The 26399-nt window shown below is 37.6% G+C and overlaps 1 long non-coding RNA gene across 6 annotated transcripts in view, besides 2 other annotated features; it reads left to right on the top strand.

Annotated features, from left to right (window-relative positions):
- Positions 6022-6125: a silencer, noted in NCBI's record as "fragment chr21:26903379-26903482 (GRCh37/hg19 assembly coordinates)". NCBI's record gives its function as "represses an EF-1alpha promoter that drives an FKBP-Casp9 reporter gene in an ReSE screen in phorbol 12-myristate 13-acetate-treated (for megakaryocytic differentiation) K562 erythroleukemia cells {active_cell/tissue: K562(+PMA)}" and the evidence as "EXISTENCE:reporter gene assay evidence [ECO:0000049][PMID:32094911]".
- Positions 18286-18787: an enhancer, noted in NCBI's record as "H3K4me1 hESC enhancer chr21:26890717-26891218 (GRCh37/hg19 assembly coordinates)". NCBI's record gives its function as "activates a minimal SCP1, AML or CMV promoter by ChIP-STARR-seq in naive H9 embryonic stem cells {active_cell/tissue: H9 hESC(naive)}" and the evidence as "EXISTENCE:reporter gene assay evidence [ECO:0000049][PMID:30033119]".
- Positions 18344-26399, top strand: part of LOC105372753 (uncharacterized) — a 72352-nt gene continuing 64296 nt past the window's right edge. For 2 of the 6 annotated variants that reach the window (NR_188561.1, NR_188562.1), the window contains exon 1: positions 24463-24859. This is a non-coding gene — a long non-coding RNA (uncharacterized LOC105372753). Of the gene's footprint in view, positions 18452-18636; positions 18761-18844; positions 18917-20736; positions 21838-24462; positions 24860-26399 lie in introns of those variants that run through there. The other 4 variants (NR_188560.1, NR_188557.1, NR_188559.1 and 1 more) reach the window with 4 other exon arrangements.

Below are 26399 nucleotides of genomic sequence, written 5' to 3'. Positions count from 1 at the left end.
AAGAGAGAAAGTGACATCAGGTGGTAACTCAGATTCACAGGAAAGATGAAGACCATGGGAAATGTTAACTATATAGGTACATATAAAAGACTGTGTATGTATTTTTTCCTCTTAAGTTACTTAAAAAACAGTCATTTAAAACACATTAAACTTTTTTCCAGGTCATTTCAATCATATTTATAAATAACATGTTTATGTCACTGTCATGTTATCAGATTTAGACTTTTTAGCTCACTTGTACCCCACACTTCCTCTTTTCCCTCTGCTCAATATGGTTCTATCATCACTTTTGATTTCTGTATTGGTTACCATTGTATCTCTTTATTACTTTTGACCTATATATTACTTATATACCCACTTTGTGAGATGAATATATTACAAAGAAAAAAGAACTTTCCTTTAGGTCTCCTCCCCTCTTCACCTTTTGATTTCTTTTATCTGCACATTTACTTTTACACTATAATGATTGATCACATTTACTTTCTGTTTTTCAACTATATTAAATCTTTCATGTTTGCTTATAGGATGAGTTGAAACTCAATAGTAAGTATTTACATTATTAATGTAAATTATTAGGGATAATAGAGTTCCGTCTTTGAACAGTATTGCCTTTACCATAGCCGTGTTTCTTCCCTGCCCCTAGCTCTTCATCACAATGTCTATTCTGTCAAGTTTTATGTTTAATGGAAACCTCTCCTCTATCTTTCCAATCTGTTAAGGACCAGTTGCCCCTGTCTGGTTGCCACCCAGTCACTTTTCTCACTTTTTAAGGTTAGAGCCATTGTTTGGTGGATTGCATGTCCTTTCCTTTTCAGTTTTATGCCTTCACTTTGTGTATTCCATTCTCTAATAACTTTCTAAGAGTACATGATAGGTTAATTTATTAGTTCTTAAAAACTTGTAAATATATCTTACCCTCAAGGTTGCAGGATGATTTGAAAGGTTGGGAATAATTTTCCTTCAGGGAAGGGATCAGGAGACTTCTATAGAGAGCCAGATAGTAAATGTTACAGGCTTTGCCTGTCATATGATCTCTGCCGCAACTACTCAACTGTGTAGCCTTTGTAGCATAAAAGAAGCTACAAACAATAGGTAAATGAATGAGTGTGGCTGTATTCTAGTAAATCTTCATTTTCAAAAGAGGCCACAGGCTGGATTTGGTCCATGGGCTATAATTTGCCAATTCCTCCTTTAGAACTTTGAAGACATGATTCATTGTAGTCTCGTGTCTAGTGTTGCCAATGAAAGTCTGATGCTAGACTGATCCTTGTTCCATTGCATGTGACCTTGTATTTTTTTTTTCTAACTGGGAATATTTAGAATTTTCTTTTTAACTTTTTCATTCTAAAGTCATGCAATACAGCTGTAGGTCTTTACTCATCAATCTATTTGGCTCATAGAGGGATATTTTAGTCTGAAAATTTGAGTCCTTCTGCTCAGGGAAAGCCTCCTCTTTTAATTTGTAATTATTTCCATTTAATTTATAATTATTTCCACTCTGGTGTCTCTGACCCTTTTCTCCTGGAACCTTGATTGGTCTGACAATGGCTACTTGAATTAATTCCGTTTCTATCTAATTTTCTCTCTCATTTTTGGCGTTTGTATCTAATCTCTCTCATTTTTGGGGGACAGATATCTTTATCTTCGAATTTTTGAGATGTTTCCCGAATTTTATCTTTTAAAACTTTTATTGATAGATGGTTTTTGGCAGTTACATTTTTAAAGATCTCATTCTTGTTTTCTAAATCCTTTCTTTTTTTTTTTTTTTTTGGCATAGTAGATTTACCATGAGGCAGGTGGCCCCATACTCTAGTACCAAAAGTTGCTGGAAATTGTAGAACTTCTAAGTAGAAAGGTAAATAATAGCTTAAAATCAAGAAGCATTTCTATGAAAGCTTTTCTAGCTAAATAAATCTCAGAAAAAAGGGACTGGAATCTCTAAGATTCCAGTAAATTAAATTGTGACTTTTTTATATATTATTTTTGCACCTAATTGTATATTTCTAATTTTATATTTTTCAAAGGGCCCCAGTACTGACTAAGCCTTGAACCATACAAAATGTAAATTGTCATTTTATTTTAATTTCTCTGACAGGACTAATTAGCATTTTTCTAAGTTCTTTTTTGTTTTTTTGTGTTTTATCTGTTTCCTTGAGGTTTTTTGTTTTGGATTAGCATATCATTTTTGCCCCACAAATATCTGGTGATCCTTGGTATTCCATTCATATTTAAAAGTGAGAAAATAGAAAAGCTAGCTATGAGGTCTGTGAACATGGGTGGTGTATTAGTCAAAGTTCCTCAAAAAAACAGAACCAATAAGATAATATATATATATGTGTGTGTGTGTGTGTGTGTGTGTGTGTGTGTGTATTCATTCATTCATTCATTCATTCATACATTAGAAGAATTGGCTCAGGTGATTATGAAGCCAAAGAAATCCCACTGTCTGCTGTCTGCAAGCAGGAGAGGCAGAAATGTCAGTACTATAATTTAGTTTGGGTCTGAAGGCCTAAGAAACTGGGGGGTTTCTGGTGAAATCCCAGAGTCTAAAAGCCTGAGACCCTGGAGCTCCGATTTCTGAGGGCAGGAGAAAATGAATGTCCCAGCTCTAGAAGAGAAAGAGCAAACTTGCCTTTTCTCTGGCATTTTTGTTCCATCTGCACTCTTAATGGATTGGATAATGCCTACCCACATTGGTGAGGGTGCATCTTTACTTAGTCTACCAATTCAAACACTAATCTCTTCTGGAAACACCCCCAAAGGGACACCCAGAAATAGTATTTTGCTGGTTATCTGGTCATCCCTTAGCCCAGTCACCTTGATGCACAAAAGTAACAATCCAGTTGGGACTTGTCAACAGACATGCTTTGATTTAGAGGATCTAGAGAGGGAGTCTGTAAGGTGCTGCTTCAGTTCTCAAAAACTGACAGTTCACTCAATTGTTTTTCATTCACCACTGATCAGAATCACTCAATTTTTTTTTTTTTAAAGAGAGGAACTCCCTCATTCTTTCTTCTTTAGGAAGATAAATCTGGCTTTTGGAAGAAGTTCGACTGTTTCTTCTTTAGTGTCTTGTTTTTTGTCCCTGTATTTCACTTCTGCCATCTGTCATACCAAGTCTAATATTTCTAAATTTTACCGGCAGACAGGAGGCTCTTTCCATTGGAACAGCCCCTCTGTGTGTATTTTAGGCTGTTCCTTCCTCTGTTTTGCATCACCAATATCTATTTCTTCTTGTGCTTTGTGTCTTCCAGAGATTCATTGAAATCCCATATTTACTGATAGCTGCCTCCTATTCTCTCAGTTGTGGGTTTACTGGGCTATAACAGAGCCTCAAAAGATAAAAGAGATAAAAGTGTACTCAACTGCATCTTAAACTCAGAGCCCTGTGATACTTTAAATTCCTCACCAACAAATTCATAGTTTAATAGATGGCTCCGATTTTGATGTCTATGCTTTTAGGTTGTCCAGGATTTCTTCTGGAAAAACTCACTTTTTTTGCTTATACATTTGTTATTTTGAGGACATTCAGTTCTCAAGTTCAGCATCCATCTTATCCCTTTATATCTTCAAAAAATTCTTCAATGTTTCTGTCCAAGCCTTCCTGGTTTTCCTGCATTGCCACATTCATGTTTTTATAATCTGTCATTTCAAAGGGAGTTTGTCGGGGAGAAAAGGAAATGCATGTGCTTAGTCAATCAATCGTCTTCAACCAGAAGCCAGAATTTTCAAATTCTTTTTTTTTTGAGACGGAGTTTTGCTCTTGTTGCCCAAGCTGGAGTGCAATGGCGCCATCTCGGCTCACTGCAACCTCTGCCGCCTGGGTTCAAGCGATTCTCCTGCCTCAGCCTCCCGAGTAGCTGGGATTACAGGCATGTGCCACAATGCCCAGCTAATTTTTGTATTTTTAGTAGGGATGGGATTTCTCCATGTTGGTCAGGCTGGTCTCGAACTCCTGACCTCAGGTGATCCACCCGCCTCGGCCTCCCAAAGTGCTGGGATTACAGGTGTGAGCCACCATGCCCTGCCTCAAATTCTTTAATGATATAATTTAATGGCTTTTTCTCTTTTAATAAAAACATCATAGCCTGTAAATCAGAAAACATTCAGAACAAAGAAGCCCAGAAATATAATTATGCACACACATTTATAGAAGCTTTGAATTAACTTCTTTTTTGATATATTTGATCCCAAAGGCATAATCTAAAACTTATCAATTACATCCTATTTTTGACATTTTCTTTTCAGAAGACATTCTTATCTGTCCTTTTATCTTTTTCATTGGATATTTAACTCCTTGATATCTACATGATTCAGAACCTTACCCTTTTTCTTTGACATTTTACTGTACTTTGAATTTGTTTTCATGCAAGACTCTTCTGCCAAAGACCGTTGATATCTTAGGTGAACCAGGATCCATTGGAAATAAGAAATAGTATGTTTACTCTGTTATTTAAATTGGAAGGAAAATACAGTGTTTTGTTGAGTACACCTCCATGAACTAATCCAACAAGAGATTTTCTGAATACATCCCATGTATTCAGAAAACGTATTTTTAGGCAGTACAGATACACTAGTGACCAAGACAGACAAAAGTTCCCTGTCCTCTTCAGGACATAGGCATGGGCAAAGACTTCATCACTAAAACATCAAAAGCAATGGCAATAAAAGCCAAAATTGACAAATGGGATCTAATTAAACTAAAAAGCTTCTGCACAGCAAAAGAAACTATCATTAGAGTTGTGGGCAGAGGATTACCTAAGTGCCAAGACAAGAGACTGAAGGCACAAACTGTTTTAGTATAATAAAAAAATAGTTAGAATAAGAATAGTCATAATACAAATTAAATAGAGATGATCATAGACAATTATTGATCATTATTATAAACATTATTAATCATTAGCTTTTAATATTACGCTTTGTTGCATTACTAATATAACCTAGGAATAACTGATAGGTATAGGGTCAGGTGCTGAAGGGACATTGTGAGAAGTGACCTAAAAAGCAAGAGGTGAGTCTTCTGTCACGCCCGCATAAGGGCTCTTGAGGTCTCCTTGGTCAAGCGGTAATGCCAGTGTCTGAAAAAACACCCATTAGTTAGCAGACCATGAAAGGAAGTTTCCTTTCCTTGGAAGAGTCAGGGAACACTCTGCTCCACCAGCTTCTTGTGAAAGGCTGGATATTATCCAGACCTGCCCACAGTCATCCAGAGGCCCAAACCCCTCCCTGTGGTGCTGTGCTTCAATGGTCACACTCCTTGTCCACTTTCATGTTCCTCCCATACTCCTGGTTCCTCTTTGAAGTTCGTAGTAGATAGCGGTAGAAGAAATAGTCAAAGTCTTAAAGTCTTTGATCTTTCTTATAAGTGCAGAGAAGAAAATGCTGACGTATGCTGCCTTCTCTCTCTCTGCTTTGGCTACTTAAGAGGGAAGGGCCCCCTGTCCTGTGATCACGTGACTTGCTTCACCTTGTCAATCACTTAGGAGATTCACTCTCCTTACCCTACCCCCTTGTCATGTATGCAGTGAATATCAGCGCGCCCAGCCGTTGGGGCCATTACCAGTCTCCGTGTCTTGATGGTAGTGGTCCCCGGGCCCAACTGTTTTCTCTTTATCTCTTTGTCTTGTGTCTTTATTTATTACAATCTCTATATGGGGAGAACACCCGCTAAGCCCCATAGGGCTGGACCCTACAAGAGTGAACAGGCAACCTACAGAATGGGAGAGAATTTTTGCAATGTATCCATTTGACAAAGGGCTAATAGCCAGAATCTAAAAGGAACTTAAACAAATTTACAAGAAAAAAACAACCCCATCAAAAAGTGGGCAAAGGATATGGACAGATACTTCAAAAGACACCTCAAAAGAAGACATTTATGCAGCCAACAAACATGAAAAAAAGCTCATCATCACTGGTCATTAGAGAAATGCAAATCAAAACTACAATGAGATATCATCTCACACCAGTTAGAATGGCGATAATTAAAAAGTCAGGAAACAACAGATGCTGGAGAGGATGTGGAGAAATAGGAAACTTTTACACTTTTGGTGGGAGTGTAAATTAGTTCAACCATTGTAGAAGACAGTGTGGTGATTCCTCAAGGATCTAGAACCTGAAGTTCCATTTGACCCAGCAATCCCATTACTGGGTATATACCCAAAGATTATAAATCATTCTACTATAAAGACACATGCCCACGTATGTTTATTGCAGCACTATTCACAATAGCAAAGACTTGGAACCAACCCAAATGCCCATCTATGATAGGCTGGATAAAGAAAATGTGGCACATATACACCATGGAATACTATGCAGCCATAAAAAAGGATGAGTTCATGTCCTTTGCAGGGACATGGATGAAGCTGGAAACCATCATTCTCAGCAAACTAACACAGGAACAGAAAACCAAACATGGCATGTTCTCACTCATAAGTGGGAGTTGAACAATGAGAACACATGGACACAGGGTGGGGAACATCACACACCAGGGCCTGTTGCAGGGTCGGGGGGGTAGGGGAGGGATAGCATTAGGAGAAATGCCTAATCTAGATGACGGGTTGATAGGTGCAGCAAACCACCATGGCACATATATACCTATGTAACAAACCTGCTCATTCTGCACATGTATCCCAGAACTTAAAGTATAATTAAAAAAAAAAGTTCCCAGTCTTCACGAAGTTTACATTCTAGTGGGATACAGACAACAAATAAGATAAATAGATAAAAGATACATGTGTTAGGATTCTCTAGAGAAACAAAACCAACAGGATGTTCATATATAAGATTTATTATAAGAAATTGGCTCATGTAATTATGGAGGCTAACAACTCCTAAGATCTGCAGGGTGAGTGGGCATGTTAAAGACCCAGGAGAGCTCATGGTTTAGTTCCAGTGTGAGTCCAAAGGCCTGAGAACCAGAACAGCCAAAGATGTAGTTCCAGTCTAAAGGCTGACAGGCTTTAGACCCAGAAAGAGCCTATGTTTCAGTTTGAGTCCAAAAATGCAGTAACAAGCTGAGGTCCCAGTTTGAAGGTCACTGGGCAGGAAGAATTCTCTGTTACTCAGGAGAGGGTCAGCCTTTTGTGCTAATCGGCCCTTCCACTGATTGGATGGTGCCCACTTGCATTAGGGAGGGGCAATCTGCTTTACTCAGTCTACTGATTTAAATGTCAGTTTCACTCCCAATTCCCATCACAAGCACACCAGAAAAATGTTTGGTTAAATGTCTGGGCACCTTGTAGCTTAGTCAAGTTGGCATAAAATTAACCATTACAATATGGTAAATTAGATGGAGTGTCATGTTAAGGGAACACCAAGGAGGTTGGTGGGGCAGAAGTGGAGTGAACATGGGGGCAGAAGGAGGTGATGATGCCAGAGAGGTAACTGGGGGCCACATATGCTCAAACTTGGTAAACCATTTGGCTGTTAATTGCAGTGGGTGCTAATAGGAGGTTTTGAACAGAGAAGCAACTTGATCTAAGCTTTAAAAGGTTTCCTCTAGCTATAGTATTGAGAATTGACTGAAGGAGGCAACCTGCGGTGGAAATAGGGAAATCAGTTAGGATACCCACAGTGGGTTGAATGATGGCCCCCACATGATATGTCCACATTTCTAGAACCTTATGAATTTTACTTTATTTGGAAAAAGAGCCTTCATAGATACAATTAAGGTAAGGATTTTCAGATGAGGAGATCATCCTGGATTATCTGGGTAGGTCCAAAATTCAATGAAAAGTGTCCTTGTAAGAGAAAGACAGAGGGAGATTTGAGACAGAAGAGAAGGAAGGAATGTAACCAGTGAGGCAGAGACTGGAGTGGTGCTGCCATAAGTAAGGGAATGCCTACAGTCTCCAGAAGCTGAAAGAGGCAAGGAAGAGTTCTCCTATAGACCCTCTGGAAGGCGAATGGCCCTGACAACATCTTGATTTCAGATTCCTCCAGAACACTGAGGGAATAAGTTTGGGTTGTTCTAAGCCATCTAGTTTGTGTTGATTTGCCACAACCACAGGAAACTAATACAAGACCATTGTAGTAATCCTGGTGTGAGAAGTCTCTAGGCCAGCTCTTCTCCATGAACTCTGGATCCTGACTCTGTGACGAATGTCACCTGCATTACCCACAGACCACTCAGTCTCAACTGGTTCAAATGGAAAATAGTATCCCTTCTGTCCTCAAAATCTGCTCCACTTCCTGAATTTCCTATTTCAGTTGACTGTACCTCACAGTTTTTGGAGATGATTCCACTAAGAGTACATTTATGTACTACTAATTCCCAAACAGAGTTAAGTGCTAATTTTTGTTTTCCCACAGGATGTTGCCTATAGATTTTAAATAACATTTATTACATTCTTTTACATGTTCATATGTTTATTTCTTCCACTACACCTTTATATTTTGGAGGGCAGAGACTGTGTTTTATTTGTTTATCTCGTGGTCTTGGCATCTGGCATATTTCCGGTTCAGAGCATATGCTTAATGTGGTTTAATGATTTACAAATGAATAATTCATCTTCCTAGTCACTCAGGGAGAAGTCTTGGAGATGACTTTGGTTTTCAATGCCTCATTAACAAATATCAAATTGGCCATTTAGTTCTATCCACTCTCAAAGTATCTTTTATATTTTCCTCCTACTCTTTATCCTCACAGTCATTGTCTTGGCTTTCATAATTGTTTATTCATCCCATTTCAAAACCTCTTGGTTTCTCCAGTTTTATCTTTCCATGGTCTATTCACCAAGAAGATGAGCTTTTAAATGTGTTCATTTAATTATATCATTTCCTATTAAAATCTTCTGATGACTTTCAAAATCCTGATCTGACATACAAGGCTTTTGATGATTTGGCCATTTCCTTGTATGTCCTTATAATGCATCTATATTCTTAATATGTCTGTGTTGAACTACTTGCTCTTCATTCATTTAAACTATGTATCTCTATCTTGATCACAAGGCATTGGTGATAGGCCCTCAGAAAGAAAGATTTATAAGACATGATTTCTGTCCTCATTGAATTCCTAGTTCAATATCAGAGACAGTAATTTTAAAATTATATTTGTTATAATTGATTATAAGAAGAATACAAAAAATTGGAAAAAAATCTAACCCAAATTGGAAGGTGGAATTGTAAGACACAACCTCTGGTGGAGAGAATAGGTGATAGTATATGAGATATCTGAAAGGATAAATAGGAATTTTTCAGGTAACCAAGGAAAGGTAATAGTTTTTGTCAGTTGGAGGGAAACATATATGCAAAGGGAGTGAATGCCTTGTTAGGGAAAAATGGTTGAGTGTGGCCGAGGTACTGGGTATGAGTTGGACAGTAATAAGACTACAATTAATGGGAGAGGCTGGATTAAAAACTGGTGTATGAGGTTAAGAGGTTTGAATTTTATGTTCAAAGCAGTGGAGAGTTATTGAAAGATATAGCATATGAGTGGCATAATCACATTTGTATTTTAGGAAAATAATTCTATTAGAAATCTAATTAATGTATTGAGTGGAGCAAGAATGGAGACAGTGAAGACTGACAATGATCCAACTGGTCAGTTACAAGAACCTGAATAAAGGTAGTGCCGGAGAGTTACAACAGGTATAAATTTAGAAGGTAGAAACTGTAGTAATTGACAACTGACAGTATGGGTCAGGGAGAAGGATGAAATAAGAATGATTCTTAGGTTTCTGGTTTGGGAGAAGGCAAAAATACAATCTATGAAGGAAGTATTGGGAGGAAATTATGCAGTTAGTTTTGATCACATTCATTTAGTTTTGAATCTAAGATGCTTATCACATATCCAAGTGGAGATATAAGACCCTAGTTGGCTTAAATGATCTAGAGCTCAGAGCATTTATTTTAGTTTTTGGTATATATTTTGGAGCTCACTGGCATATAGGCATTACTTGATGCCATGGAGATTATGTAATGTCTGCTAGGATAAGTATTAGTGTGAGAAGAGAGGCTTGTGCAAAAGTCTGAGAACCCCAAACCTTTTTTTTTTCTTTTTTTGAGACTTGCTCTGTCACCCCGGCTGGAGTGCAGTGGCATGATCTTGGCTCAGTGCAGCTTCCGCCTCCTGGGTTTAAGCAATTCTCCTGCCTCAGCCTCCTGAGTGGCTGGGATTACAGGCGTGTGCCACCAGCTAATCTGTGTACTTTTAGTAGAGATAGAGTTCCCTGTGTCAGGCTGGTCTCGAACTTCTGGGCTTAAGTGATCCACCTGCCTTGGCCTCCCAAAGTGCTGGGATTACAGGTGTGAGCCACCAAGCCTGGCAGAGAACCCCAGTACTTAAGAGACAACTGAAGAGGAAAAAGTGGAAGAGCAAGAAAGTTAGGAGGAAAATCGCAAGGGAGTCAAATCTTTTTTTTTTTCTTTAATTGTATGCCAAGCATTTCACATTTTATTCTTGCAATACTCATGTGGATACTGGAGACAGGCTAGGAGTAGTAGGTGTGGAATAATGAGACAGTGAAACTTTTCTGGAAAACATTTTGGCAATATGGGTTAAGAGCCCTCAAAATGTTCATATTCTTTGGCCAAGGAGTTGTACTTCAAGGTGACTATCCCATGGAAAGGGTCACAAATGCAGTTGGTGCTTTTGTTCATATCTTTAATGGTTGTATTATATACTTTAGTATATAATGTAGCAACATTTATGTAATCACCCTTCACTTATTGGGAGTCAAGCCTTAAAAGCCAACTGAGGAGGAAATTTTGTGATGCCAGGAGATGTTCTGCAAAGTCAAGTGCAGCAGGGAAGTTAAGTAACATAAACATTTTAAAATTTTCTTTGAATCCGGCAACAAAATGGTCTTTGGCCAGGCGTGGTGGCTCATGCCTGTAATCCTAGCATTTTGGGAGGCCAAAGTGGGCAGATCACCTGAAGTCAGGAGTTCAAGACCAGTTTGGCCAACATGGTGAAACCCCATCTCCACTAAAAATACAAAAAATTAGCTGGACGTGGTGACACATGCCTGTAGTCCCAGCTCCTTGGGAGGCTGAGACACGAGAATCGCTTGAACCCAGGAGAGAGAGGTTGCAATGAGCTGAGGTCATGCCTCTGCACTCCAGCCTGGGCAACAGAGTGAGAATCCGTCTCAAAAAAAAAAACAAAAAACAAACAAAAAAAACTTTGATGACCTTGACAAAAGTAATGTTGAGAGTCGAGAAAGATGGAAGTAGAATTGTTTTACAGCAGTGTTTTAAAGTGGTTAGAAATTGGAGACTTAAGAGTGTAGACCACTTTTGCAAGTAGGAAGTAGTGTGACATTAAAGAGAATGATGTAGGATAGTAGCTACGAGAAACAAGAAGGTCAAAAGAGAAGGCATTTAAAAAGAAAAACTGGTAAGAATATTGGTATGTTGGAGGAAAAAACCTGGAAAAAGAGAAAAAGGTAGAGATACAGTCAAGAAAGATAATTTAGCAATATCTCTAATGATGTGGGAGGAGAATTAGATTCACATTTCAGAAAAAAAGATTTAATTAACTTTTTTCAGGCAAAAAATAACTAAAGAATAAGAAGGCCTGTTGATGGACACTTAGGTTGTTTCCAAATCTTGGCTATTGTGAATAGTGCTGCAATAAATGTGGGAATGCAGATGTCTCTTCAATATACTGATTTATTTTCTTTTGGGTATACACCTAGTAGTGGTTTTGCTGGATCATATGGTAGCTCAATTTTTAGTTTTTTCAGGAAACTCCAAACTGTTCTCCATAGTGCTTGTACTAATTTACATTGTCACCAATCATGTATGAGGCTTCCCTTTTCTCCGCATCCTTGCCAACATTTGTTATTGCCTGTCTTTGGATAAAATCATTTTAACTGGGGTGAGATGATATCTCATTGTAGTTTTGATTTGCATTTCTCTGGTGATCAATGATGTTGAGCACCTTTTTATATACCTGGTTGCAAATTGTATGTCTTCTTTCAAAAATGTGTATTCAAATCTTTTGCCCATTTTAAAATTGGATTATTAGATTTTTCCTACAGAGTTGTGTGAGCTCTTTATATATACTGGTTATTAATCCTTGTCAGATGGATAGTTTGAAAATATTTTCTCCTATTCTGTGGGTTGCCTCTTTACTTTGTTAAATTTGTTACTTGCTGTGCAGAAGCTTTCTAACTTAATGTGATCATATGTGTCCATTTTTGCTTTGCTTTCCTGTGCTTGTGGGGTATTACCCAAGAAATTTTTGCCCAGACCAGTGTCCTGGAGAGTTTTCCCAATGTTTTCTTTTAGTAGTTTCATATTTTAAGGTCTTAGATTTAAGTCTCTAATCGATTTTGATTTGATTTTTGTATATCGTGAGAGATAGGGGTCTAATTTAATTCTTCTGCATATGGATATTCAGTTTTCCCAGAACCGTTTGTTGAGGAGATGGTCCTTTCTCCAGTGGTATGTTCTTGTGTCTGTTTTCATGCCAGTACCTGTTTTCTGCTGTTTTGGTTACTATAGCTCTGTAGTACAATTTGAAGTGAGGTAATGTGAGTCCTCCTTTTTTTTTTTTTTCTCAGGATAGCTTTGGTTATTCTGGGTCTTTTGTGGCTCCATATAAATTTTGATAGGGATTGCACTGAATCTGTAGATTGCTTTGAGTAGTAGCATGAACATTTTAACAATATTGATTCCTTCAATACATGAACATGGGATATTTTTCCTTTTATTTTTGGTATTCTCTCTAATTTCTTGCATCAGTGTTTTATGGTTTTCATTGTTGAGATTTTTCACTTCTTTGGTTAATTTCTAGGTATTGAATTTTATTCATAGCTATGGTAAATGGTATTACTTTCTTGATTTTTTTTCAGAATGTTTTTCGGATGGCTGTTGGCATATAGAAATGCTGCTGATTTACGTATGCTGATTTTGTATCCTTCAACTTTACTGAATTTATCAGTTTTCATTGTTTTCTTGTGGAGTCTTTAAGTTTTTCCAAATATAAGATCACATCATCAGTAAACCATGATAATTTGGCTGCTTCCTTTCCAATTTGGATACCTTTATTTCTTTCTCTTGTCTGATTACTCCAGCTAGGACTTCCAGTACTATGTTGAATAATGGTGGTGAAAGTGGGCATCTTTGTTATGTTCTAAATCTGAGAGGAAAGACTTGTAATTTTTCCCCATTTAGTATGATACTAACTGTGAGTCTGTTGTATCTGGCTTTTATTATGCTGAGGTACATTCCTTCTTTACCAAGATTTTTTGTTGTTGTTGTTTTGTTTTTTGACAGAGTCTTGCTCTTTTGCCCAGGCTGGAGTGCAGTGGTGTGATCTCAGCTCACTGCAACCTCCACCTCCCAGGTTCAAGCAATTCTCTGCCTCAGCCTCCCGAGTAGCTGGGATTACAGGCGCCTGCCACCATGCCTGGCTAATTTTTATATTTTTAGTAGAGACGGAGTTTCACCATCTTGGCCAGGCTGGTCTTGAACTTCTGACCTCGTGATCCACCCACCTCAGTCTCCCAAAGTGCTGGGACTACAGGAGTGAGCCATCATGCCCAGGGTTTTTGTTTTTTTTGTTTTTTTGTTTTTTTAAATCATGAAGAGATGTTTAATTTTATCAAATGTTTTTTCAGCATCAATTGAAATGGTCATATGGGTTTTGTCCTTTATTCTGTTGATATGATGTATCACGTTGTTTGATTTGCATATGTTGAACCATCCTTTTATTCCAGGGATAAATCCCACTTGGTCATGATGAATGACCTTTTTAATGTGTTGTTGAATTTGGTTTGCTGATATTTTGTTGAGGAGTTTTGCATCTATGTTCATCTGCGATATTAGCCTGTAGTTTTCTTTTTCTGATGTGCTTTTGTCTGGCTTTGGTATCAGTGTAATACTGGTCTCATATTAGGTTGGTGCAAAGGCAATTGTGGTTTTTGCCATTGTGGGTTTTGCCATTACTTTCAATGGCAAAAATCGCAATTGCATTTGTACCAGCCTAATAGAATGAGTTTGGAAATATTCTCCCCTCCTCTATTTTTTGGAATAGTTTGAGTAGGATTGGTATTAGTTTTTCTTTAAAACTTTGGTAGAATTCAACAGGGAAGCCACTGGGTCCAGGGCTTTTCTTTGCTGGGAGGCTTTTTATTGTGGCTCAATCTTGTTTCTCATTTTTGGTCTATTCAGGTATTGGATTTCTTCATGGCTCAATTTTGATTGGTTGTATGTGTCTAGGAATTTATCCATTTCTTCTAGGTTTTCCAATTTATTGACATATAGTTTCTCATAGTAGCCTCTGATGATCCATTGAATTTCTGTGACATCAGTTGTAATGTCTCTTTTTTCATCTCTGATTTTATTTATTTGGATTTTTTTCTCTTCTTTTTTTAGTCTGGCTAAAGGTTTTTCAATTTTATTTATCTTTTCAAGAAAACAAACTTTTCATTTCATTGGTCTTTTATATTGTTTTCTTCATTTCAATTTCATTTATATCTTCTCTGGTCTTCATTATTTTTCTTCTTCTACTAATTTTGGGTATGATTTACTCCTGATTTTTTAAGTTCTTAAAGACGCGTTTTTGGGTAGTTTTTATACCTTTTTGATGTAGGCACTTATAGCTATAAACTTTCCTCTTATGACTGCTTTTACTGGATCCCATAGGTTTTGGTGTGTTGTGTTTCCATTATCATTTATTTCAAGAAATTTTTAAATTGTCTTCTTAATTTCTTCATTAGCCCACTGCCATTCAGGAGCATATTGTTTAATTTTCATGTGTTTTTGTAGTTTCCAAAATTCCTTTTGTTATTGATTTCTAGTTTTATTCCATTGTGGTCAGATAAAATATTTTATGTAATTTCTTTTTTTAAAAAATATATTTAAAGACTTGTTTTGTGTCCTAACATAGTCCATACTTGAGAATGATCCATGCCCTGAGGAGAAGAATATGCATTCTGCAGCTGTTGAATGAAATGTTCTGTAAATATCAATTAGGTCCATTTGGTCTATAGTGCAGATTAAGTCTGATATTTCTTTCTTGATTTTCTGTCTGGATGATCTGTCCAATGCTGAAAGTGAGATGTTGAAGTATCTAGCTATTATTGTATAGGGCTCTATCTCTCTCGAGGTCTAATAATATTTGCTTTATACATTTGGGTGTTCCAGTATTGGGTGCAAGTATGCTTAGAATTGTTACATCCTCTTGCTGATTGACCCCTTTATCATGTTATAAGGACCTTCTTCTTCTCTTTTTATAGCTTTTGTCCTTAAATCTATTTTGTATATTTTAAGTATAGCTACTCTTGCACTGTTTTGGTTTTCATTTGCATGGAATATTTTTTTCCATATCTTTATTTTCAGTCTATGCCTGTCTTTATAGGCGAAGTGTGTTTCTTGAAGGCAACAGATTGTTGGATCTTGTTTTTTCATCCATTCAGCCACTCTGTGTCTTTTGCTTAGAGAGTTTAGTCCATTTAGGCTCAATGTTATTATTGATAAGTAAGGACTTACTTCTACCATTTTGTTATTTGTTTTCTGGTTGTTTGGATGTCTTCTCTTGCTTCTTTTCTTCCTTATAATGAAGGTGATTTTTTTCTGGAGATATGTTTTAATTTATTGCTTTATACTTTTTGCATACCTGTTGTATGTTTTTTGATTCTGAGGTTATCATGAGGCTTGCAAATAAAATTTTATTACCTATTTGACAACTGAACACTGATTCCATAAACAAACTAAAAAACAAGCAAAGCTAATAACAACTGCACACTTTAAATTTGTCTTCCACTTTTTAACTTTTTGTTGTTTTTATATATATCTACATAGTACCATCTATGTTTTGAAAAGTTATAGGTGTTATTTTTGATTGGCTTACTTTTTAGTTTTCCTACTCGAGATATGAGTAGTTTACACATCACAATTACAGTGTTATTATATTTTGCATTTTTTCTGTGTACTTACTATTACCCATGAGATTTGTACCTTTAGATGATTTGTTATTGCTCATTAATGTTCTTTTCCTTTAGCTCGAATAACTCTCTTTAGCATTTCTTGTAGGACAGGTCTGGTGTTGATAAATTCCCTCCACTTTTGTTTGTCTTGAAAAGTCTTCATTTCTCCTTCATGTTTGAAGGCTATTTCCTCCAGATATACTATTCTAGGATAAAAGTTTTTTCCTTCAGCACTTTAGATACGTCGTACAGCTCTTTCCTGGGCTATACAGCTTCCCCTGAATAGTTTGCTCTCATATGTATTGGAGCTCCATTGTGTGTTGTTTCTTTTCTCCTGCTGTTTTTAAAATTCTTTATCCTTAACCTTTAGTGGTTTGATTATTAAATGTCTTTAGGTGGTCCTATTTGGGTTAAATCTGCTTGGTGTTCTATACTTTCTTATACTTGAATACTGATATTTTCCTCTAGGTTTGTGAAGTTCTCTGTTATCATTTTGAATAAACTTTCTACCCCTATTTCTCCCCCTCTCCTTCCCCTTTAAGGCCAATAACTCTTAGATTTTCCCCTTTGAGGCTATTTTCTAGATCTTTTTGGCATGCTTTCTTCCTTTAAATTCATTTTTCTTTTGTCTCCTCTGTGTATTTTCAAATAGCCTGTCTTCAAGCTCACTAATTCTTTCTTCTGCTTGATCAGTTCTTCTGGTAAGGGACTCTGATGCATTCTTCAGTGGCATTTTTCAACTCCAGAATTTTTGTTTGATTCTTTTTAATTGTTTCAGTCTTTTTGTTAAGTTTATTTGATAGGATTATAAATTCCTTCTCTGTGTTATCTTGAATTTTGTTGAGTTTCCTCAAAACAGCTATTTTAAATTCTCTGTCTGAAAGATCATATATCTTTGTTTCTTCAGAATTGTTCTCTGGTGCCTTATTTAGTTAATTTGGTGAGGTTATATTTTCCTGGATAGTCTTAATGTTTGTGGGTGTTCATCAGTGTCTGGGCATTGAAGAGTTAGGTATTTATTGTAGTCTTCACAGTCTGAGCTTGTTTGTACCCATCTTTCTTAGGAAGGCTTTCCAGGTATTCTAAGGGACTTAGGTGTTGTAATCTGAGTTTTGGTCATGACACTTGTGTCTGCCTTAGGAGATGCCTCAAGCCTAGTAACACTGTGGCTCTTGCAGACTTGTAGAGGTACCACCTTGGTGGTGGTCTTGGATAAGATCTGAAAGAATTCTCTGGATTTTCAGGCAGAGATTCTTGTTCTCTTTCTTTACTTTCTCCCAAATAAATGGAATCTCTTTCCCTATGCTGAACTGCCTGGAGTTGGGGGAGGGATTATGCAAGCACTCCTGTGGCCACCACCACTGGGACTGTGCTGGGTCTGACCTGAAGTCAGCATGGTACTGGATCTTGCCCAATGCCCGTGGTGACCACTGCCTGGCTACTGCCTATATTAGCTCAAAGTCCTAGGGCTCTAAAATCAGCAGGTAGCAAAGCAAGCCAGACTTGTGTTCTTCCCTTTAGGGTGGTGAGTTCCCCAAGTGCCAGTGGGTCCGGAGATGCTTCCAGGAGACAGGGCCTGGAAAACCTTAAGAATCTCCCCAGTGCTCTATTCTACTGTGGCTGAGCTGGCCTCCAAGCCACAGGATGAAGTCCTTCTCACTATTCCCTTCCCTTTCCACAAGCAGAGGAGTTTTCCTTGTGTCCACCACCACCCAAGGCTCAGGGGGAGTACTGCCTGGCTACTGCCAGTGTTCACTCAAGGCTGAAGGGCTCTTCAGTCAGCTTGAGGTGAGTGCTGCCTGGCCTGAGACTCTCCCTTCATGGCAGTGGGTTTCTCTCTGGCCCAGGGCAGATTCAGAAATGCTGTCCAAGAGCCAAGGCCTGGAATTAGGGACCCTAAGGGCCCGCTTGGTGTTTTACTCCACTGTGGTTGAGCTGGTACCTAAGCTGCAAGACAAAGTCCCTTTTATTCTTCTCTCTCCATTTCTCAAGAAGAAGGAGGCTTTCCCCATATCTCCCACAACTCGGAATGTGCTGGATCATACGGGAATCCAGCATGTCTCTGAGTCTCACTCAAAGCCTATGGTGAGTGCTATCTGGGTACCACTGCTGACTATTCAGGGCCCAAAGGTTTTTTAGTCAGCTGTGGATAATTCTTGACAGGACTGGATCCTTCCCTTCAAAAGAGCAGGTTCCCTTCTGCGCCAGTGTGTGCCTAGAAATGTTGTACAGAAGCTAGGTTCTGGAATGGAGGCCTCATGACTCTGCCCAGTGCCCTATCCTACTGTGGTGGAACTGGTATCCAAGTTGCAAGACAAAGTTCTTTTTACTCTTCCCTCTCCTCTCATTAAGCAGAAAGAAGTCTCTCCTGGAGCTGCAAGCTGCACTGCCGGGGGTTGGGGAGGGGTGATGCAAGCATTCCCTTGGCCACCCCGGCTGGTGTCTCACAAGGTTGCATGCCACCAACATCCGCTGGCTTTGAATCCAACACAGCACCAGGACTTGCCCAGGAATTGCAGTCCCTGTTGCCTTTCAAGTTTATTTAGGACTTCAGAGTACTTTAACCCACAATGGTGAGGCTTGCTGGAACTCAGGTTCCAACCACTGGGTTGGGCAATTCCCCTCTGGCTAGGGCTGGTCTAACTTATCCCTCTGTGGGTGCTGACTGAGTTCTGCCCACTATTACTTTCTGCTGTGACAGGCAGCACTGAGTTCCAATGTAAAATTCCACAGTCACTGTGCTCCCCCTCCCCCAAGCACACAGATTCTTTCTCCACCACATGGCTGCTGCTGGGGGATGGGGCAGGCGTGGTGTGGGCAATTCAAGACTATCTTTTCTATCCTCTTCGGCACCTCTTTCAGTGATATGAAGTTAAAACCAGGTACTGTGATCACTCACCTGATTTTTGGTTCTTATGAAGGTGCTTCTTTTGTGTTGATAATTGTTCTATTTGGTGTTCCTGCAGGGAGAATGATTGGTGAAGGCTTCTATTTGGTCAACTTGCTCTGTCTTTATAGCCAATTTATATTGATAAGAGGTAAAATTCATATTTTGCCATCCTTTAAAAACCTATCTATACCACTTTGTGTATGTGTGTGTATTTAGTGAGTTATTGCTGCTATGTTTTGAAGCATATTCCAGACTATTCTTTTACTAATAAACACTTAATAATATCATTATTACTATTAATTTTTATATACTATAAACAGAATATGTTCACATAATATTAAAACATGATCACATATTGGAACACAAACTCTGCATGTTACATAAAAAGCACAAGATTTACAGGACAAAAACTCTGAACAGTGTAGGAAAGATAGAAATTAACAATGTAAGTTTGATTTAAAAACCAATCACTTGGAAATTAAAAAATCAATTATACTAAGTAACTTTAACATGTACACAAAGAACAAAATCGTGATTATGGAATATTTTGAATAGTATGACAACCAGAATAGTAAGATTGTAACTTGTAACTCAAGAGTATAATTTAGAATTTTAAATATGTTTTTTATTAAATAAAAAATAAATATGAAACAGGCTGAAGGTTAATATAAGTAGTTAAAAGAAGGCAATATAAGTAATCTAAGAATACCAGTTGGATAGAGCAAATAAAGACAATTCAGAAATTATAGGTTTAAAAACAAATTCTAGTGTATACATCCAAAATACAGCTTATTGAAAAAAAATTGCCAGACAAACCTCAAATAACAACAAAAAGAATAGCAATGAAGAGAGATACAAATTATAAGTGGGAATGGTCATAACCACTAATACATGAAAATTCATGATTTCAGAGATAATAATTCTTCCCCAAGTCACTTATAAATATAATGCATCTCAATTAAAGTTGTAAAATTTTGTTGGGGAGCAGATTTGACAAAAATGATTCTGAAGTCATTTATAAAAGTGATGTTTTATAAAGATAAAAACAAGTAAAATAAACATTTGATTAAACATGCTGGTATGTAAAAAATTATTTTACAAAGGAAGGAAATGATAAACACAAAATTTGAGACAGTGGTTACTTCTAGGTGTGTGTGTGTGAGGAGAGACAGGAGAATAAAAGTGGGGAGGATATGTAAATTTGTGTTGATATTTTCAGTCTTGGGTGGGTGGTATATTAATGGGTATTTGTTCAATATCATTATTTTTAAATTATCTTAAAATAAATACTATAAAGTATATATTTAAGGTGTACACCATATTTTGATATACATATATGTATTAAAATGATTACTATAGTCAAACAAATTTACATATCCATCACCTTCCATAGTTACTTTTTAAATAGTTTTAGTTTTATTTATTCATTAACGCTAAATAAATAAGGTAAAATAGTTCTATTCCAATAATTATTGACTGAGGATTATGATTAATTCAATTATATGTACCTAAATTCCATTATAAAAATTTAATGAGTGAGAATAGCTAATATAAATTTAAATAGAAGAGGAATATGTGTGTTTGTGTGTGTGGAATGAAGGGTGTTTAGAAATAAGACTTACGTTTCTTGGTGTTAAAATATATTTCAAAGTAATAGTAATAAAACAATGTATTTCTGATCTAGTAATATGCAGTCAGCCTAAAAAAAACAGAGCAGGAGGTACAGAAATAGATGTGTGTGTGTGGTTGTGTTTATTAATTATGATAAATGATATACTGAACAGAATTTAGCACAGTCAATCTGGCCCATCTGGTTCTCAATAAATATTTTTATTATCTTCACTGTTATTAAGTTGTTATTTTAAATTATCATAAGATAGAATAAATGATTTAAAAATTATCTTGAGACAGTTTCTAAGTATTTTCAAAAAGATTGAGTTCCATTCTTGATTTCCAATTTTTTACCAGTTTCTCTCTAGATACCATTTGCGGTATTCCTGAGTCAGAAGAGAGGAAAGGTGATACTGCCACCCCCTGTATGTATTTCCTTTTAGATGTGGGATGTGGTAGGCAGCATGTTCCCTCCCCAGACTTCTCTCCGAGAGCTGTCTATGCCCTAATCCCTGCAACCTGTGAATATGTTATGTTAGTTGGCAAAGGGGACTTTGCAGATGTAATTAAAGTTACTGACCATATAATGAGGAGATTATTCTGGATTATCCAAGTAGGCCCAATCTAATTACATAAAGCCTTCAAAGCAGAGAGCTTTCTCCAACTGGAGGCAGAAGAGATGCAGCAGCAGCAGCAGCAGCGAGAACAATTCAAAGTACAGGGACTCAATGGGAACTTTCTGGTTTGATGTTGGAGGGAGCAGCATGATGAGGAATTTGCACAGCCTTAAGAGGCTGAGGGAGGCTCCTGGCTAACAGCTAGCCAGGAAATATGATCCTTAGCCTTGCAGTCATGAAAACTGAATTCTTCCAACAACTTGAATGAGTTATCCCTCAGAGCCTTCAGATAAGAGTCCAGTTTGCCAGCAATTTGATTTCAGTCTGTGAAACCTGGACCAGAGGAACCAGCTGAATTCACCAGACTTCTGACCCACAGAACTATGAGATAATACATTGAATACATTGAAGTTGTTTAAAGGAGCTCAATTTGCAGTAATTTGTTATGGCAACAATAGAAAACTGACATATGGAGGTATTGATATAGTCATGATTTTGATGACTAACTAGTTTGTGATCTGGATATGAAGTGTCACCATGCTACAGTGCCTGAGTCTGCTTCAGATTCTTCTACTTCTTGGCCATCTTTATTGGGAAAATAAGTATGTGAAATAAGTATAGTCTATTGCCCTTTTTGAGTACCACTGGTTAATTAATTTTGTTATTTTCAAGTGTATGTGCTTTAATTCACATGGCATTAAAAGAATCGGTAGTATAGTTTCACTCAGCCAGATGAATCCAGAAATCTCTTGCTCATTGAATCTTCAGAAATGAGAGTGAGAGCATTCCATGAATCTAGAATCAAAACACATTAGTACAAATAAAGATCACTAAAAATAAATATGTATGTGTGTGATGATTATTTTTATGTGTCAACTTGACTAGACCACAGTGTGCCCAGATATTTGGTTAAACATTATTTCTGTGTGTGTCTATGAGGGTGTCTCTAGAAGAGATTAGCATTTGAATAGGTAGACTGAGTAAAGAAGATTGCTTTCTCCAATATGGGTGGACTCATTCAATCTGTTGAGGGCCTGAATAGAACACAAAGTGGAGGAAGGGAAGATTCATCCCTTTCCTCCCTGCCTGTTTGTGTTGGGACATCTGTCTTCTCACGCTTGAACTGAGACTTACATCTTTGGTGCTCCTGGTTCCCAGGCTTTTGTACTTGAACTTTAACTTATACTGTTGTCTCTCTGGTTTTAAGACTTTTGAACTTTGATGAAAACTTACACCATTGGTGCTCCCTGTTCTCAAGCCTTCAGACTTAGACTGGAACGACACCATTGGTTTTCCTGTCTATCTGATAGATGGCAAATTGTGGGACTTCTCAGCTTCCATAATCATGTAAACCAATTCGTGATATTTTATCTGTCTCCATCCATCCATCCATCCATCCATCCATCCATCCATCCATCCATCCATTCTATTGGTTCTGTTTCTTTGGAGGACCTTGACTGACATAGTGTGTGTATATATTTATATGCACATGCATATATGACATAATGTATAGTTTACCTATGTTTTAAGCTAAAAACATAGGTCAGAAAATATTTGTAATCTTTTTGCTGGGAAAAAAAGTATAAGAGCCAGTATAAATTAACTTTTAAGGAGAATATACATGGTAGCCCAAAACACTCATTTTTGTGACGAAAATGAAAATTGGAATACAAGAATGAATTTTTTGAAAAGACCTAGATTTTATTGTTTTGGCCTTTCAATTTTTTCATGCCACAAAAATTTGTCAGAACACTTATCTTGTATCAGACAAAGCACTAGAATTGAGAAGTTAATGTTGAGTAAGGTAGACATTATTCCTGTCTTTTGGGTGCATTTGTGACAGCCCAGCAGAGCCGGCTTGGTCCAGTTAAACCAGCAAGAGTGGGTTTGTATTGATATGAATACAAAATGGTCTTGATGCTTCTCTGTACTGTTGGTCTGTACCAGCATTCCCGCTTTAGGGTTTACTGGAAAATCCCAGTTGTGAAACAAATGCCCTAAAGTGGAGTATACAAGCATCGACAGGAATATGCAATAGGGGATTGATATGATTTTGATCTGTGTCACCAGCCAAATCTCATGTCGAATTGTAATCTCCAATGTTGGAGGTGGGCCTAGTGCGGGGTGATTGGTTCATGGGGGCGGTTTCTAATGGTTTAACACCATCCCCCAGGTGCTGTTTTCGTGATAGTGGGTGAGTTCTCATGAGAGTTGATTGTTTAAAAGTGTATAACACCTCCTCCCTCTCTCTCTTTCTCTTGCTCTGGCCATGTGAAGATGCCTGCTCTGGCTTTGCCTTCTGCCATGAGTAAAAGCTCCCTGAGGTCTCCTCAGCCATGCTTCCTGTACAGCCTGTGGAACCAGGAGCCTATTAGATTTCTTTTCTTTATAAATTATCCGGTCTCAGGTATTTCTTTATAGCAGTGTGAGAATGGACTAATACAGGGACTGAACTCAATCAGTAGCCAAATGCAGGTTTCTTTGAGGAAAGCTGTAAAATAAATGATACCTAGGAGCTAACCAGGAGACAAGGGAGGCAGTAGTAGGTTTGAAGGCCTAGGAGACATGAAGAGCATGGTGCAGTGGGGTGACTGACGTTTTGTATGGTGGGAGAAACAGAGTGGAATGAGATTGCATTAATTGCTGGATGAAAGGTCAGCAGCTTTAAGGTATAACCATTTTCTCAGTCTTGACTAACTGCCATTATAACTTGGGGGATTGGGAAATAAGCCTGATTTTTATTCATTATTTTAAAATTAATATTTAAATATTACATTTTTTCTTATTAATTATTGCTCATACTTCACTAGACATGGTTTGTCGACATTCCTTAGAATGGGATAGTTCAGGGCAGATGGCTGCTAAGATGAGTCTCTAGATCACTTGTCATCATTATGTTGTGTGGCTGATAAAGACTTTATCTTTAATGCATCCCAAAATGTAGTTGCTGACTTCCCTGTATTTCTTTATTCACTCATTTTTTCATTATTTCCATGTTTATCAAATGCCCTGTTTGTCCCTCTCTGTTTGTTCTCAGTTCCTGAGCACTTATCTATGCTTTCTACTGCTGCCAACTCAAATTGCCACACACTTAGTAGCTTAAAACAACACGAATTTATTATTATTTTGCACTTCTGTAGGTCAGAAGGCCGATACAGGTCTCATTGAGCTAAAATCAGGGTGTTGACAGGCTGCATATTTTTCTTGAGGTTCTAGGAGATAAACCATTTCCTTGACTTTTCAAGCTTCTAGAGGCTGCGCACATGCTTTGGCTCGTGATCCCCTTCCTCATCTTCAAGGCCAACAACATAGAATCTCCCTGGCCCTGGTCCCTTTTCACTTCTCTTTCTTGGGCTCCCTTTTTCTGTTTCCCTCTTCCACTTTTAAGAACCCTTGTGATGACACTGGGCCCACCCAGATAATCCAGGAAATCTCCCTATAAAAAGGCCAGCTGAATAGCAACCTTAATTCCACCTGCAACCCTAATTCCCTTTGTTACGTAGCATAACATATTGACAGGTTCTCAGGACGTCTTTAGCAGGGGCCTTTATTCTGCCAATCACATGATCTCTATGAATCTGCTTCTTGTTTTTTTTTAATTGGGTGACATTAAATTCTGATTTCTTTCTTTCTTTTTTTTTTTTCTCTAGGGAGTCGTCTCTCAAGAGGACTTGATCTCTGGCCTGTGAACTGCCCCACATGTTTCTTCTGCACATCCTGACTCCCAGGCCTGCACAGGGGACTTCTGCACAGGCCTGACTCCCAGGCCTGACATTTTCTGGTCTGTCTTCGCCATGGTCTGCTATCAACTGCAGTTTTGAATTCTGGTTTCTCTTATTCTTTGTCTCTAGGCAAGTCAACAGGTTAGCTTCTTCCTCATGTTGAGAATTATGTGGTTAAAATGTAGAGAGTTAATCATAGTGAGTGATTGTACTAAGCCCTTCTATGGTTTCCAGCAGCAAGAAAGAATAGATGTTGCTCTTCTGCTTGTTGTTATGCAGTAATAGCCACTATTCTTACAATTTCAATGTTAGCTCACTCAGTGCTTTGTTTTTCAATGAACTGTACCACAGTTAGAAGAATTTAGAGATGGGTAATGAGGAAAGAGTTATAGAGCAGGGAGTGTGAGAAGCTGTGCTCGTTATTACTTTAAATTTTTACAAAGTGTGCAAAGTAACTAGAATCAAGGAGGCCATTTGTGTTTGCAAGTTTACTGTATATATATATATATATATATTTTTTTTTTTTTTTTTTTGAGACAGGGTCTCACTCTGTCACCCAGGCTGGAGTGCAGTGGCATGGTCATGTCTCACTGCAGGCTCAAGTGATTCTCCCACCTCATCCTCCCAAGTAGCTGGGACTACAGATGTGCACCACCACGCCTGACTAATTTTTAAATTATCTGTAGAGACAAGGTCTGCGTATGTTGACCAGGCTGGTCTTGAACTCTTGGGCTCAGCGATCCACCCGCCTTGGTCTCCCAAAGTGCTGGGATTACAGGTTTGAGCCACTGCACCAGCCTAGGGGAAATATCTTTTTTTCTTTTCTTTTTTTTTTTTTAAAGAGAAAATGCCTGTCAAATAAGCCATTGATCATGTGAAAACAGTGAAGAAACTTTTAGCTTACACTTACATACATAAAATATTAGGTAAAATGTTTCACAAAAGTTACAAAAAATTATTGAATTAATAGCTAAGGAGTTTCAGTGGCATGGGAATATTTTATTGTGCAATTTAAGTACTTTATTGAATTCCGTTAGCAATCATGAGTTTATAATAAATGGAAAAAATGGCCCAAAAACACACTGATGATACAACCTTTCTGAAGTGCTAAAATGAACCATTTGATTCTGTTCTATTTTAATGATATAATACCCATTTTTCTTTACTCTTTAATTCAATAGTCAAAGCAATGTTCATTCCTATTAGTTACATTTTTAAACTTTAATTTTTGTTGTAGACAAAAATTAAACATCTAGAAATATGTAAATTCTCTTACTACAACAAACCAGCTTCAAGGTTCTCTAAAATATAACTATCTACCTCTAAGACTCCAAGGCCACATTTCATGGCCAGGAAGTAGAAAGGTATAAAATCTTCAATGGGCTTTCAGTTCATTTTCCCAGTTAAACAGTATTCAGGAAAGAGTTAAACTTTGAAAATGAAACTAATTGTTGGAACATGATCTCTTTGAAACCCACCCAATTGGCCTTGTTCCTTCAATAAACAGATTCTGTTTGGTGGTGGTGAGGTGGCATTTGATATTAGTGAAAATTTGAAATCTTGAGATTTAGGGAGTAGAGAATAGTTGGAACAATCTGCATTATTTTTCTTTTTTCTCCTACAAATCAAAACTGAACTACGGATTTATGAGGAGCTCTCTTAGGCATTCAGGTGAATTTGA

The sequence above is a fragment of the Homo sapiens genome, chromosome 21, assembly GCF_000001405.40.
Source record: "Homo sapiens chromosome 21, GRCh38.p14 Primary Assembly".
Lineage (NCBI taxonomy): Eukaryota > Metazoa > Chordata > Mammalia > Primates > Hominidae > Homo > Homo sapiens.
The sequence above is the reverse complement of the archived record's forward strand: the minus strand, read 5'-3'. Positions and strand labels throughout refer to the sequence as shown.